We start from the raw sequence: 17,482 nt of genomic DNA on the forward strand, positions 1-17,482 counted from the left end.
AGATGGCTGGGTTGTTGGCAATGGCCCATGATTTAGTGGAAATGGAGCAAAATATAGTGTTGGGGGCAGCCTGCATGGCTACTATCATTGCATGAAGTTTGGCCCACTGGGCAGAATGTCCATGTTCAGTGTCAGTCAAAAGATGCCATCCCCTGGCTGGATGGTGGCCTCACCCAGTGGACCCACTGGCATGTATTTTGTACAATCATCAGGGCCCCATGCCATACTGACATAGGCATGTCTCTGAATCGTTGGCTCATTGTGGCCAAAGGAAAAACAAAATTGTCCCCTATGGGTCATTTGTTCCCTTCTAGGAAGCTTGCTATTTGTTTATGGGCATTCATCCATTTGCACATGGATCCTGTGGGAACTGGGTTAGGGCGAATTCTGACTGTACCAGTTCCATTTAATAATTTGGATCTGTTGGGCCTGTCCAGTTTTATTGATTGTGTTTGTAGGCACCAAAGTGAGAATGGGTAGTTAAGGTAGCAGCGTCATCCCTGATGCTCTAGCTATGAGATAATCAGCCCCTATCAGTTTCCTACAGCAAGAAGTTGCCATTCAAAAGAGGCACAACTGGTGGCTTCTGTTGCCACAGGCTCCAGTCAGCATATATAGAAATAGTGGACACCTGGATTTCCATTGAGCAAGCAGCCTCTGAAGGTCTTAAAGAAGTGCCTCAGTCATGCCTTGTTGAACAGATTCCAAGGGTGATTTTGACTAACATGACCAAAAGAACACCCAGGTAAGGTTTCTACTGTCCCCAGTACCCCAAAATACCTACTAGCTTCTGGGTCTCCATCTTATTAGTGGACGCCACCAGGACCAGCAATGATTAAATATACCTGGGATACCTCCTAGGTTTCTTTTTCAGGTGGCCTTGGCATTCAGCCTTCAACAATCCATCATTGGTCTGCCAAACTGGGTTGTTCCATTGTGACACCAGGCTTTGTGACATTTTAATCTTTTTGTAGCAACTATTAAATTTACTAGGTAGTGTTCCGATCTTCACTGAATATGCAGTCCTGCTTTGTGAACAACACTCTGGGACACGGGAAGCTTAGGTGGCAGGCAGGAGTGGATATGCCCCACTGTCGTGTCTTGAATACTTAGCTATGAGTGCGGATAGCCCCTCAGGCAGCAGTGATGTTTTGTGGCACAGCAGCAAAATGTCAGTACCTCTATTGCACTCTGCAGTGAGAACCATGGTCACCAGCACCCAACATAGCCCAAAGGGTGTGGTCCACATGCAGATCAGCACACAAGCACATACTCACCATGGGGTCCTCATTTGTCTTGACACCTTCTGATGTCTTCAGTTTATTTTTTTCCAGGGAGGACCTGGTAATATTGTCAGGTGGATTGCAGCATACAAAAATCCCAGAATAGTCTGAATTCTTTTTTTTTTTTTTCACCTTTTATCTTGAGAGGAATATAGGGCTGGTAGCCTCTGGTGGAGACCTTGGCCCTGTTCCTACCTGTGCCATTCAGACAGACATTTGGGTCTGCAATGTGGCTTAACCAAACAAACACACCGACCAGGCTGCATAAGACTTCCCTCGTGTTTTTCCATGTCTCTTTTATAGAGAGTGAGCCTCCTTTTCTGTGATGGCCATTGTTGTTCATTTTGGTTCCTTATCAGATGCTTCAGGGACCATTGAGATTATCTTTCTTGTGTCATCTTGGGTGACTCAGGGTCCATCTGATTACCCATGTCTTGAGCTCTCTTGCCTCAGGAATGAGCAATCATGCAACTGTCTAACAACTAGAAAATTGTGTACCCCATTCCTATTTCCACATTCTTTTTTCTATGTCTCAATTCAGTCAGCCAGCTGATCCATATTAATGGGAGGAGGACAAATGTCCTGTTTATCCTCCCTCCTCATTAAACATCCATCTGCATGTCCAGCCCTTGCATCTCCAGGCTGATATCTCTGTCCTGGGCCAGGTACTGGAGAGTATTGTTCCTCCAACTTCACCATAAGCCATAGTTCTCTCAAATCAAACCTTCTCACTGCACCAATTTTGCCAAGAAGGTTTGCTGTGCACTGGTTGCCAACTTACCCAAATCTAGTGAGACAGAACACCCATGCACAACCAGTTACATGAAGTGGATTACTACTTACAGAGAGTCAGCATGAGAGAGCACAAAGCTGTCAGGGCCTGATTGACTCTAGACCATACATACCCAACAAGGACTGCAGCTGAGGGACCCTGGAATGCAGTCCACCCTGGGTTTTATGTCTTAGAATCACATGACACACTGGGCTAGAGTGTTGAGGGAATTCCTCTTTGTAGTAGGGACAGAAACAGAGCCCAGGATATTTTGGCCAATCTTGTTCTAGCTCAGAATGCTACATTTCCAGAACATTCTACAGTTATTCCTGAAAACTACTAGCAAGAAAGGGAAGGAGACTGGGTTGATTCATGACTAAATGGAAACTTTTCTGCAAATACCAAAGTGAAATCATAACTCGGTATTTTTGAGACTGGGTTATTTCACTTAGTGTAGTGTCCTCTAGTTTTATCCATGTTGTAGCGTGTGTCAGAATTTCCCTCAGTAATGTGCTTTTGTATGTATATACCACATATGGATTACCAATTCCTTCCTTTGTGAACATTTGAGTTGCTTCTACCTTTTGGCTACTATGAACAATTCGGTTCTGAATGTGGGTATACAAATACGTCCTCAAGTTAATATCTTCAATTACTTGGGTATGTGTCCAAAAGTGTAATTGCTGAGTTATATAGTATTTCTATTTTTATTTCTTTGAGGAATTGCCATCTTGTTTCCCACAGCAGGTGGGCCATTTACATCACCAAGACAGTGTCCACAGGAGTTCCAGTTCCCTAAATTCTCACCAAGACTGGTCATTTTCTGTTGGAAAAAAATCCTAATATGTGCAAAGTGGGGTTTGTTTTTATTTTTCTAAGGATTAATAACATTGAGCATCTTTTCTTATTCTAGTTATCTAATTATCTCTAAAGAATCTTCTTTAGGGAAATGTCTATTCATGTACTTTTCTCACTTTTAATCAGTTATTTTATTTTTACTGTTGACATGTAGAAATTATTTTTGTATAGTAGATATTATTAACCCCTTATCAGATATGATTTAAAAATATTTTTTTCTGTTCCACATGTTGCATTTTCACTGTGTTGATTATGTCTTTTGATGCCCATTTTAAATTTTTATGAAGTCCAATTTATCTTCTTTTCTACCTTTGCCTGTATTTTGGTGTTAAAGGTGTTAGTATTTAAATGTCTATACATACTGACTTACTATACTGAGAAGGTCACACTCCACCATCTCTCTGATGGTGGAGCTAAGAGTTTTACACTCTCCCATTTTGTACCAGGGGACAGTGCAGCTATGTGAGAACCCAGTGACTTTCCCGAGCTTATTTGTCTTGCATTTTTGGTGACATGGATTGTTGTTCACATTGGCTTCCTCTGGCAGGTCCACCTGAAAAGCATTATATTTAGCAAGAAAAACAGGAGGCAGTGAATGATGTCACTGTGGATTGTGTATATTCCCTGTTGCAAATGTCAAATTCGTGAAGCATAAAGGGATTTACTAGGGATATTAAATTCCTTGCAAATTGTTGAAAAGTCTTAAGGAACATGCTCCTGGCAAAGCCTCTAGAACAATTCCAAGAATGGCACTGCTGGTGCAGGCTGGGGAGGAGCTCCTGCTGCCTTAGACTCCACATTCAAGCTGTCTCCTGCAGAAAAGAGAGCAGCTCTTCTCACTACTGCCCCCAGAAGGACAGCCGCTCTGCTATCAACTACTAGAAAACTGACCCCTTTCTCTGCATACCTGCCTGTGTTGATTACATCTTCATGTCAGTCTCACATAGATTCATCTGTTTTCAAGGCTGCAGGGTTTATTTCTGCCCAAGTCCATCCTGTGGCTTTCTATCATAAGTACACATCTTTCTACACTTGAATTTCCAGGCATTACTAGTATCAACCACAACAGGCTACAATCTAACATAAATATTTTCTTTACAAAGAACATCATGCTACCAATGTAGCACTGTGCTCCCCAAAATGTGAGGAATCTCCAATCTGTTCAGCCCAACACCATCCAGGAAAAAATGATCTTCTCTCATGAGCCATTAATCTGTGTACATATTATTTAATATGTGGTCTATATTATAAAGGTGGCTAAAAATAGCACTTTGATTTTTTTAAAGAAAGGGTGTATTGAAAAGACTAAATTATTTAACATACATATATGAATGGCTCATTTCGTTATTGTCACCAGCTTCTTCCGTATTTATTTTATTCTCTAGTTTCTGGCAATAATTTCTCTATGGTAGAGTCTGGAAAGGCTATTCCTCATGTCCTTGGCTTCCTAAGTCCCATAGGTGGTGAAGAATGCCCATCAGATGTGTTACTACAGAGTGCTTTTGGATTGAGATGAGGGAGGGGAAGTGCCTGATCTCACTCAAATGTACTCAATTTCCTGGTCTGGGTCACAGCCAGGCAGCACAGTCTTGTGGGCACAGTATCTTCACTTGCCATGTTTCTATCAAAATGAGAGTATCTTCCTTCACTGTGGAAAACACGGGGTGGGCAGGGTGAGGGAATAGCAAAGGGAGTACTTGGAGATCCCTAAGCTGCCACTGGTTTCTCCAAATGTTTTCAATCCATTTAATTCATGATAATAAACACCTTTCTACCTAACCAGTCATAATCGCTTTTCTCAGATCCAACTGATTCAGTGATAAATCTAAAGAGAAAAAATAAATACACTTTTCCACGTTTAAGCTGACCATGAATGTTTCCACCTCCATATCCCACTATGCGTTTCATCTTCCCTTTGCCTCACTGGCGATCCAAGTGCAAGTAATGCTTCACATGACTGTGATCCCTAGAACTTCTACCTGATGACTGTTGACGTCTTCTCTGAGTTTTACCAGTGGAAATGGCAATAAATAGAAACATTCCAGAAGGTCCCCTAGGGTGCATATTTTCTGTACTTCCTCTCTAAGATATGTAAAATCAATTCCATTTGCTCTTGCTTTATATGAACTAGACCTATGGCCCCAGCAAACAAACTAACACCCTGTGTTGACAACTTATCCAGTATTGTCTTAAGTCTAAATGGTCACATGCTTATATCATTTCTTCCAATTTCTTGGGATAATTGTCATGTCAACTCTTTGGATTAAGAATCATCAACCAGGCCAGGCGTGGTGGCTCATGCCTGTAATCCCAGCACTTTGGGAGGCAGAGGCAGGCAGATCACGAGGTCAAGAGATCAAGACCATTCCTGGCCCACATGTTGAAACCCCGTTTGTAGTAAAAATACAAAAATTAGCTGGGCTACAGGTGGTGTACCCCCTGTAGTCCCAGCTACTCGGGAGGCTGAGGCAGGAGAATAGCTTAAACCTGGGAGGCAGAGGTTACAGTGAAGCCGAGATGGCGCCATTGCACTCCAGCCTGGCAGCAGAGTGAGAGACCGTCTTAAAAAAAAAAAAGAACCATCAACCAGAAAACCACAGCCCTGAGAAAACAGAAATAGAGTATTTCAAGCTGTTCAGTTGGCGTTAACAATGGTAAGTCTACAGCTCATTTTCAAGATATATATATTCTGTTTAAGGGAGTAAAAGCACCCATCACGGTTAATGTTTCAGAGCCTCCACCACTTCTGATCGTATAGTAATTCAACAGCACAAGGGTTTGTGTGACAGCTTTGCTTGACTAATAATAGGTTTTTCCCTGTCTATAGGGAAAGTTGCACCTGTGCACAAGACAAGATCATAAGCTACACTTCGCTCTTCTTTTTTGAGGTAAATAACTTGCTTGATCCAAAGCCATTTTATGGAAGAATTTCCTGATTCTGATGAAAGCACTTGGAAAATCCTCAAATAATATTTTATGCAGAAACATAACCGATAAGAATGGCAAATTCATATATAGGAAAATAACCAGTGCTTTCCTTATGTTACATGAGGTCCACTAGTATCACCTAATACCAGCTGTTAGTCTGAGCCCTGATGTATCATACAATGTTAGGGGTTCTTCTTGACAAATTAGATGTTCAGAAAAGCCGGTAGCCCTGTAGGTCTCAGTTAGTTGAAAGTCATATTATTGAGCCCCCCAGAGACCTCCATAACATTGGTTCATGATACTCCCTGGGAAAGCTGGGAAAGGTGACTGACTGAAGTCCATGTGTTGAATCATCCTCATTATTAAAAGCCCCCTGCTCATTAATGGCATTTTGATTAATACTCACTTGGAAAGCATTTTTTTGGATTGTGGCTCATTTTTGAAACATCTCATCATAGCTCTTCCAGAATGGCTTTGTCTGCAATCATCCTGTTGTGTTTCTTTTAAGACCTGATGATCTGTTAAAACCAAAGGCCAATATTATAAAAATCCTCTTCTCTTTGCAATGGGATCATCAGATGTAACCTTACAGTTTACCCACGGTTAGGATTTTTACATTTCCAGGGCTTCCTTGACAATGGCACTGATGTGACTCCATCCAGCATCTATTGTTGTGAGGACTCTATCTGGCATATCATCATTGTGGGCATGAACATAATGGAGATTTTCACAGGATGCAATGGTTAATATTCAACGTTAGTCAAAATTTCTTCTAGTCCTACCCTTGGAGCTCTACTGGGTTGGAAAAATATTTTCATGTAAGGACAACCATTTGGTAGAGTTTTAAAAATAAAGGCTACCAATAAATTTTCTGTAGCAAGAGTATGAACTATTTGTGGTCCAGAATACAATTTTTTATGGAATGTAACAAAAATTATTTAAATGTATTCAATGTAGATAATAATTTTACAAATAGGCTTATATTGCATATATAATAGAAGAAACACAATTAAACATAAATACTATATATATGTAGCCATTTTAACAAATAAGTATATATTTATTTATACATATCTTACATACATTTATGCATATTTTTCCACAAATAAGGTAAATTTTAATTTTTTATTGAAATATTAGTTTTAATTTTGTCATTAATTTTCTTTTAATAACTTTATAATTTGATTACTAAATATTCACATTTATACCACCAATTTAAGAAAAAATACATGTGTGTATATATAGGTAGAGGTGTAAATAATGTATCAGGGAGCTTTTATGCATAATGATTGGTAACTGGCTAAATACACAACTCAGTGACTGATAACAGTAAATATTTGTTTTCATGTTCATGGATGCTCATGTTCACAATCATCTGGCTGATCAAGGAAGGGCTCAGGTAAGTGGTTTCTCTGCATGGCACTGAGCTTGTCTTCAGCCTATACATATTAATTGTCTTAGGACAAGGCTGAACAGCAGTGACTACCCATGACTCAAGATTCTTCTGGCAGGTCACAAGAGTGAACAACATCCCAAACCAAACTGCACAGCTGAGTTTAAGTCCAATAATTTCTAACATAGCTTCACACATTTTAAATATATTCCTTTATTTCAGTGAGTACAAATTTTTAAGAAAATGTTCACTCCATTTAATTATAGAGGTGTTTGATCATTCCATGGACAAATAACTATGATTTCAACTTACAGTATTGAAAATATTTGCAAATGTAAATTTGCATTAATAAGAAACTGAAGCTGGATGTGTTTTCAACACGTGGCTTTAAATATAATATACTTAAATGGCCTCATGGGAGAAAATTCATTTTAACTTACATAAATATCCCTTTTTGCCTCTCTTTTGTCCTATAGAGTTGCCCAATAAGAGGTCCTTCCATGAGATTTGGAAATCAGAAAAGGATGACTCAATATTCTCCATTGGTACCTAAGACAGACACAGGGACAGGGATGAGGACAGGAGAAACACCTGAAAAGATGCTGTAGGAAGCTGAGAGCATCAGCACCCCCACCCCTAAGCTTCCAGACAGGACTGAGGACCACATGGTTAGATAGCCCATACTTTAGGGGCAGATGGATTCTGTTTTCTGAGGGAGCACCAGAGAATCCTGCTTCTAATGTCAGCTTTCATGACTACTATATCCTTGGCCTTGAAAGGTTGCAGTGTGAACGTTAATGTAGGAATTGGGTCATTCTTGACATACCCAACAGAGCCAAGAAACCAGGAGGGAAAGACACTCAGGGTGTAAAATATTGTCTGAAGAATGCAATTGAAATAGGCCCTATTATCCCATGGAAGTAATGTTTATGGTTTTTTGAATAAACATAGAAATTGACTTCCCCAGTCTTAAAACTCAAGTTAGTTACATTTGTCTTATCTGAGTTCCTTTTTCAGGAAACCCACCAAGAGGCCTCCAGATACTATCAGAGAGCTGAAACTTACATATCACTGAATCAGGACAGTGAGACGTCAGACCCTTCACACATTGTGATTGCCTCACTGACCTTCTGCTTCCTGTTGACAAAATTAACTTCATTACCCCTCCCTAATTCCTGTTTGCCCACATTTCTTCCCTGCTATATAACCCCCTAATTTTAGTTTGTCAGGGAGATACATTTGAGAATGGGGTCCCATTTCCACAGCTGCAGCACCTGATTAAAGCCTGTTTCTTGGCAATACTTGTTGTCTTAGTGATTGGTTTTATATGTGGTGAGCAGCAGGATCTACACCAAATCCCTGGCATTTCAGTAACAAGATTCTCTGCAAGCTTCACTGCTTTGGCCTCTTGTAACCGGAAATCAAATTCAACCCCAACTTCTGAATAATTTAACATAATTCTAGGATTCAGTTTGTCCATCAGTGCTTACCATTCTGAGCTTGCCAGCTCCCAAAATTTTCTGGAGCCAATAAACTTTCTCAAAGAGCAATAGGTAACATTTTCCTTTTTTCATGAAACTCTAAGCTTCTCTTTGTTCTTTCAACATATTGAAGACCATTGAGTTTTTCTGTATGCCCCATTTAGCAAATATTTCTTAGCAAATAAAACATGAAATTTGAGATTCATCTCTATATTTTTATTTAGACTTCCATAGTTTATACTCTATTTCTCTGTATCAAGACAATTCCTGCTTAGAATATCTATAGTGGCTTCTTCTCTGTTACTTGAATTCCAACTGAAGCCATAAACTAGACTCCTCAGGTGTCATGATCCCTGCCTTTTTTAAATCAGGAGAGGAACTGTTATGTCTGTGCACCTGGTGCTGAGAAAGAAAAAGAAATTGGGATGCAGAGGTGACTTCACATCCCCCTCTACCAACACCATCAGAGTGTGCCTGCATCTGAGGAACACTCTCAGCTGATGGAGGAATCAGGAGGAGCAGCTGGGGCAGCCCGGCCTCACATGTCTGCTTCCCTGGGGGTTTATGTTCAGGTTTGTAACACTGTGGGAGGGTAACTATTAAGCTGTTGACAGTAATAAGTTGCAAAATCTTCAGGCTGCAGGCTGCTGATTGTGAGAGTGAATTCTGTCCCAGATCCACTGCCGCTGAACCTTGATGGGACCCCACTTTGCAAAGTGGATGCAGCATAGATCAGGAGCTTAGGGGCTTTCCCTGGTTTTTGCTGATACCAGGCTAAATAACTGCTAATGCCCTGACTGGCCCGGCAAGTGATGGTGACTCTGTCTCCTACAGATGCAGACAGGAAGGATGGAGACTGGGTCAACTGGATGTCACATCTGGCACCTGAGATTGGAAATATAAACACAAATGTCCATAGAATTAATCATGTTGTAAGAGAACTTCCCTCAAGAGCCAGGCTGTACGGAACACACTGGGCTGAGTAAATTCCTAGTGTTCTCCTTCCTTACCTGGGAGCCAGAGCAGCAGGAGCCCCAGGAGCTGAGCGGGGACCCTCATGTCCATGCTGTGTCCTGACTGGGACTGACTCCTGCACAGGTGTGACCAGCCTATTAAGAAGTCTTTAGGGCAGGGGGTGGTGCTCTGGGAACAAGCAAATCGGCAGGGGGTGGGGCAGGCTGGATACAGCTGCGTGGCTGGCTTATCTCAGTAACTCAGCACAGGGGCAGTGTCCCCAGTGTCCCAGGTCAGACCAGGGCACCTAGATTTGCCTGCAGAGAATGTTTCTTCCTAAAGGATATTTTGTTACCAAGTACATTTTTGAGCATTTATTGGCAAATCTCGAAGTGGTTGTGAGAACTAGATGGAATAATATATTTCAATGCCGTATTGGGCATAAGTAGGAGAATATCCTTGTTTGTAGAGAATTCTTAATAAAGTCTTAGAGAGTGGGGCTATCAGGTCTTCAACACACTGTGAAATTGTTCCAGTTGGGAGCGATACTTTGTGACATACATACTACATTTTTGTAAGCATGAAATTGATCTTTTTTTAAGTAAAAAAGAACACTTAGTCATGAGCAAGTAAAATGTTCTCAAAAGCATTTTGTAATGGCCCTAAACCAATGTTATTACCAGTCTAAGCTGAAGAGGTTTACTGCAGATTGACAAAGAAGATGATATTGGGATTCCTTAAAGCATATGACATCCACAGTTCCTGCATTGTCCAGAGCTATAAGTCTCTTTAATGCTCGAGTTTTAATGGGATTCATTTTATTCTCTGCTTGGGGACCCCCATATTCTACCCCCTTTTCTGTCATTGTGAATTATTTCCCATGGTCCATCAGCATAAAAGTCTGACTAGCAATGCTAAATCTGATTACTTTAAAACAATTTTTTTTCTTCTTCTACTACAGGAGCCTTGATTAGCATAAACTTGAATCTTTGTGTTAGTTTGCTTAGGATAATGGCCTCCAGCACCATCCACAGTGTTGCAAAAGACATGATCTCATTTTTCATAGCTGTATATTAAGTATTCCATGTTGCATATGTACCACATTTTCTTTATCCAATCTACAACTGATGGGCATTTAGGTTGCTTCCACGTCTTTGCTATTAGGAATAGTGCAGTGATGAACATACACATGCATGTGTCTTTATGGTAAAATGATTTATATTCCTTAGAGTATATATCCAATAAAGAGATTGCTGGGTCAAATGATATTTCTGTTTTAAGTTCTTTGCAAAATTGCCAAACTGCTTTTTATAATGGCTGAACTGATTTATATTCCCACCAGCAGTGTATAAGCATTCTCTTTTCTCCATAAACTCACTAGCATCTGTCATTTTTAAGTTTTTAATAATGGCCATTTTAACTGGTGTAAGATGGTATCTCACTGTGGTTTTGATTTGCATTTTTTTAATAATTAGTGATTTTGAGCACTTTTTCATACGCTTTTTGGCCGTTAATATGCTTTTTTGAAAAGTGTTTGGTCATATACTTTGTCCACTTTTTAAAATAGTTTTTTTTTGCTTGTTAATTTGCTTAAGTTAGTTGGAGGTTTTTTAAGGAAAAAACCAGAATAAGAGAAAAAGAGGAAAATATAATACCACAGAAAACACAGACTGTGGTAAGTATTGCCTCATGGATATATATGTGTGTGTGTGTGTGTGTGTGTGTGTGCATATATATATATATATTTATGATACATGCTGTGTTTATGTGTATAATGATGATCCAGAAACTAAAGGGTGACTGGTTTAAGGACTGCCTATGTTGCACTGAGGCTTCCTTCTTTTCAAATTATGAACTAAAGGGTACAGCAGTACTTGCATGACTCTCAAAAATTCTAGCAGCATGAGATAGAGGTAGAGGAGATTTACTGAGATAGATGCATTGGAAGCTGTAGAAGCTCGTCCTGTGCTGTTGTGGATGTTGTGATTGTAGTAGTTGTTGTTAGTACAGTGGGAGTAAAAGCAGCTTGAAGATTTACAAGCTCTTCTCTTCCTCATACTTACAACTCCCTCTAGAGATGCATCAGTGATTGTACAGGCATCTCTGACACCTCTGGAGAAATCTTGTTAGCTCAATCCAGAATCTTACCTGAGAAATGTTTTGAGTCTCAAATTATGTGAAACTAGGGTGTAGAAAAAGGACTAGAGCAAGGGAAAATAATGTTCATGCCTGCACAGTGGTTGTAGACAGGTAAATGGGGGGCTTTATAAGTGTGATGATGTGCCAAACCTCTGTCACCACGGGGAGAGAAGCATCAAACCAGGATCACTTCTGGAAGAATCATTAGGTTATTTTAGATGGAAGGAACTGTGAATTCCTTGCCAAATAGATTTTTAAAATTCAAAGCTACTCATTACGTGTTAATATTATTTAACTTCTTTAAATATACCATGTGGTAGAGGGCACATCCACTATTTCAATTCAGGGTTTGTATGCCTATGTGAATTACACCATTAAAAACACAGCAAATTCCATATTGGTTGGGGAAGAATGTTTGAACAGTAATCAATTTCGTGAAGAAGAGGTTTATGTCACAGCACTTTCCACAGTATTACATACAAAAACAGTGAATGATCTCATATCCACAAGAACCAGCATTTCTCATGTGCCACATATGCCCTCCCAGAAAGAATTGAAGCCTGTGACAAGTTGATGAAAGGGGTAGAAAAAAGAATAAAACCCCAAAACACAGCACTATAAATGGAAAGGGGAAAATCATTGCAGAGCCTATGATTATAAAAATACAAAAGGTGGATATTCTGAGTATTTTTATGGCAACTAGCTTGACAGAAGTAACAATAACTTTGTATTATAAATTTACCCAGAACGAAATTTCCAATTTTATATCTGCCTGACTGGTGTCTTGATACCTTATCAAAATTACACAAATTTTCAAGAGATTCAAAAAGAATAAATACTCCCAAACTTATCATATGAGATCACCATATACTCCAGTCCAAAAACAAACAAGGACGTAACAAACGGAGAAATTAAATGCTGGTATCTCTTGTGAACATAAACACAAATATTCTGAAAAATAGGGAAAGAAGGAAAATATAATCATTTTTATACCTATATGTTTGTGAACACACATGGTTAAGTGTATTACAGTTTTTATGCTAAGAACACTTGATATGTAATTACAAGTTCTAAAAAATTGATATGAAACGGAAGATGTGACAGTTCCATTTTCCTAACTTTTAAAAGAATATTTCATCTTATTTAAATATTATTTTTATTTTTGTATGACTTTTTGTTTTGCTTAGACTTTTAGTTGAAATGAATAATGAATGTGTATTAAAAGCCTACCATTTTGATTTAATCTATGAAGGGTATTTAAATTCTCATTCTATAGAAGAAAAATCCAAACTCCTTAGAAAAGAGAGATCTTGCCAAGAGCTACACAGTTCTTGTTTCGGAGCTGAGATTTTCTCTCAGATATTCTGGCTCATACAATTTTCAGTACACTACAGATAGAAGATGCAAAGACAACATTACCCAATTGGTCTTGCACTTACTTTGTTCACTGTTAACTAAGTTTACTGAAAAAAAATTACAATAAAATACACTGTCAAAGAACTGTCACAAATAAATACATCTGCAGAACCACCTCCAAAATCCAGACATAGAACATTTCTATAACTCCCAAAAGTTTTGACCTACTCTTTTGGAATCCACTTGCTTTCCACCACACAGATCAGGGAATTCTTGATCTGCTTATTGTCAGTGCAGATTCCAATTTCTTTTTAAGGGTTTCATATAAATGAAATATAGCATGTGCTCTTTTGCATCTGGTGAATTTTGTGCAGCATAACTGCTTCTCAGATTCATTGAGATGTCATGTGTTCCAGTTATGTGCTCCTTTTTATTTTTGAGTGTTATTTAACTGTTTGGTAATTTTATAATGGATCCTTTCACCTGTTGATTGCCATGTAAGTTGTTTCCACTTTGGGCTATTACGGATAAAGCTGCTATGAATGTTCTTGAACAAGACTTTGTATGAACATATCTCTTTATTTCTTTTGGGCTAATTCCTAGGCGTGTAGTTGCTGGGTCTTACAGTAAGTGTTTAATACTCTGTTCAACTTTTTCCAAAGTGGCTGAAACATTTTACATGTCCACCAATAACTTATTATAGCTCCACACCCTCCAACTGCTGTTTTGATTTTTTTTTTAAGATTTCACCTAATTGTCACTCAACAGTAACCAGAATAGCTAGTGATTATTAAGCTATGTTTTTCTGACTATTTTCTTGTCAATTTTGGTGGTTGATGTGTTTCAGGATATTGAGAATAGAATCAATGCCATCCAAGCTCCTTTTCAAATAATTTTATCAAGCCATAATATTTAAGATGGTAACAAGGTATATACAAGGTGTGTTGGGAGTAGTAATAAGTGTTTTCAACATTTATTATTATCGTACTCCATAAGGCAATATGTCTTCAATGAAATAGTGTTTAACTAGACTTAGGATAGAAAGGTTCTCATCTCAACCCTAGTATTCAATATTAGGAAAAGTTTAAGGAAAAAAAAAAACATCCAGGAAAATAAGTCAGAGAGTGTTTTGCTAGTCAAGAAAAACTGCAACACTGATGCTCTTTTAATGCCAGACCTTCACAATAATTTCCACTCAGATCATTTGGTGGCCTCCTTGCCTTGTTCTCCTTATGGGACTTCATTCTGAGGGCATGTGACATCACAGAGGGAGCAGTGCACTTGGGTACAGAAATATGGCTTAGGGGATTGTCTGGCCTTAGAGGTGGCTGCAATGGAATATACATTTTCAAGGAAGTTCCCTGTTAAAGCTGATAAATTGTTAGTTAAGGCAAGGTGCAGGGGCTTATGCCCGTTATCCTAGATGTTTGCAAAGTCAAGGATGGAGGACAGCTGAAAGCCAGGAGTCCAAGACCAGCCTCGAAAAAATAAGGAGATCCCCCTGTCTGTAGAAAAAAAAGAATGTTTGGTAAGATGTGGTGTGAACAATGACATCTATAAGAGATTATTTATTAACATTTGCTCAGAAAACTAGAAAATAGAATGATGTCTTATAATCCATCAATATCATAATAAAAATGCTAAGTTTTTCAACTATGGTAAATATAGAGAACATAACATTGCCCATCTTAGCCATTTTTAAGTGTACAGGGCAATGGCATTAAGTAAGTCACATTGTTGTGCTATCATCAATAATAGCAATCTCCAGAACTCTTTCCATCTTCTAAAACTGAAACTCTATTTCAATTAAATGACAACCCTCTCCCCATTTCCCCTGCTTCAAGTTCCTGGCAACCTCCATTCAAGTTCTGTCTCTATGACAGTGACTACTCTGAAGCAGGTTCACTGTGCCCTGGTTACCAACTTATCAGAGTCCAGGGAGACAGAACAATCATACACAACAAGTTACAAGAATCTGGTGTAGTATTTATAGGTGGCCAACAAGGGACTGCAGAAGCCTAGGATGTATTGTGGGTCTGTCCCCTGAGGCACAGGCATGTGGGTCTGATGGAATCTTGACTGTGTGTACCCCAGTTGGACCACAACTCAGCAACCCCAGAAAGAAGATGCTCTGGGTTTTTAATCCTGGTGTCACAGGACACATGGAGCTAAAGTACTGGAGGACTAAAGTACTGGAGGACAGTACTAGGAGAAGCTGGAACAGGGGCAGGCTCTTCTGACCAGTCTCTCCCTATTTCAGAATGTTACATTTCCAGCACATTCTACAGTTGTTCTTGAGAAGTGTAAGAAAGAGAGTGGGGAGAACTAACTGAGTCGAGAACCATTAGAGGACTGTACTGGAGTCACCCCCAACCCAAACACCCCCGTTAGAAAGCCATTCCATTTTATATGCCTACTAATAACCCTGAACTGGTGGCAGAGGTGTGTCTTGTTTGACTGATGAAGCCCCTCGACGAACACAATGTCAAAGCAACATCATAGAGCCAGAGCCAGAATAGATTTCACTGGGCCAATGAAAACTACTACCAGAGGCAGGATGATCAGGCCCACCTGAAGCAGTTATGTAGCCCAGGATCCAATGATCCACAGAAGAAGTTGCTAAAGGGGTGAAAGAAGAATCCTTCAGGTGGGACCATTTTCTTCAATTACGAGCCTGTTTCCAGATCTCCTCTCTTGAATTTCTAGGATACCTGAGGTGTTTGTCCAGGTACAACAGAAAGTGTTGGAAATTGTATACAATCCTCCCAGTTGGGATTTTAAAAAAGTCTAGAGCAACACTGTTATCTAAAACATCCATCCCGATGGAGTTAAGGGATGTCTGCTGGGCTACCAAGGCAGTGGCTATGGAGGAGGAGCCATATCTGCCATGGTCAGGGACACATTTCTTATCATTTCTCTTTTTTACATGAGCACTGACTCCTATACATAGTACCAAAAATATCACAAAAGACATAAACCCATAGTCTGTTATACCTTCTGGCAGGTCCCTAGTAAGTCTGAGGTACAGCTTTGGGCTGCAGGCTCAATGGTTCACCTAATTCCAAGGAGTAATATCCAGAGACAAGCCCAGCATGCCCAACATGCAGAATCTCACCATCCCACAGTTATCCAGAGATGGCATCACACATCCTGCATTTTGTTCACTCCCAGACCATTCACAGAGAAATATGTAGCCCTTGGGTGCATACAGCCCCCTTTCTCCCATTTTATTGTTTAATCACCCAGTCATGGTTATGCAGGTATTGGTGTGTTCATTAGCCAAGTCTCACTGATGGCAGAGTTGAAGGAGCAAAGTTTTGCTCAGACAATATTGTTCATAGACAGAGGGTAGCATTAGTCCTCTCCTTGTTTTTGTCTTTGCCATTGGGGCATTTCTTATCTATGCAATCAAAGAAATATGGTACATCAAAATATCAGTCCACCAATGTTTTTTTTAGTTGTGGTCATGACATTTGCCACAGAGTCAATTTAGTTAAATGGGGGGCCTCCAGTTTTCTCCCATGTGGTAGGTATCACATCCTCAGTTGGTAGGCCAGTGCCCGGGTCCTGTTGATGTACACCATGATATCAGTAATGTTGGTGTCATTTGCCTTCAGTAGAATGAAAGGAAACCTCTAGTTAGTGACAGAACGAGGTCAAGAATGGCAGATTCAGTATTTTGAAAGATTACACTCGGTGACTTGCAAGAAGCTAACAAAGATGTTATGCTTCTAGGCCTTTGCTGCCTCATTCTTGCCAAAATGCAGTGTGACAGGTTAGTGCATCATCTCTCACCCATCCCAGGGTCTCAGGTGTCTCCTACCCATCTACAAGGGTTAGGCTGTGTTGGTGTAAGAATGCGGCCTGGCTGTCCTTGCTCTGTGAAAAATCCATTGCCTTTGTCACTTGACCCAGACATTTCAGTCCTGATTGTCCACTGCAGGAAGGGAGATTATGCCCTGTAAAAACTTGACATATTTCATAATATCACCAATACTAAAGGAAGGATAAGATGGCCCTGGCACCAGAAGAGGGCCCCTAGCTCCCTGATATTTCTTAGTCTTGTCATCCATCCTGTGGGATCTTGTAGAAAAGAGGCATTTAGAGGAAACATAATCCCCATATTAGAGTTAGGGGGCCTGTCTGGGGTAAGATGATGGCCTGAATTGAAAATCACCCCAGGGCATGCATTCTAAAGGAAAAAAAGAAAAAGAATGGTTAGGAACACTGAAATAGCTTTCACAGGTCCAGACTAATAAAGGGTCTGCCTGGTCTACCTTCGTTTCCACTCAGCATTATGTTCCTTAACATTCATTAT

General features: G+C 39.8%; 1 gene segment (V, D, J or C) and 1 further gene, besides 2 other annotated features; one reads left to right on the forward strand and one right to left on the reverse strand.

Annotated features, from left to right (window-relative positions):
- The window catches only part of IGK (immunoglobulin kappa locus), a 1,378,008-nt gene that overhangs the window by 143,317 nt on the left and 1,217,209 nt on the right, over positions 1-17,482 (forward strand).
- IGKV1-9 (immunoglobulin kappa variable 1-9) lies at positions 9,305-9,780 on the reverse strand. The segment is given in 2 exon segments: positions 9,305-9,600; positions 9,726-9,780. Coding segments are annotated over 2 exon segments (351 nt in total), but the record flags the coding sequence as incomplete, so codon positions are not given.
- Positions 9,590-9,600: a sequence feature (IGKV1-9 leader sequence).
- Positions 9,726-9,780: a sequence feature (IGKV1-9 leader sequence).

The sequence above is a fragment of the Homo sapiens genome, chromosome 2 (assembly GCF_000001405.40).
Source record: "Homo sapiens chromosome 2, GRCh38.p14 Primary Assembly".
NCBI classification, from domain to species: Eukaryota; Metazoa; Chordata; class Mammalia; order Primates; family Hominidae; genus Homo; species Homo sapiens.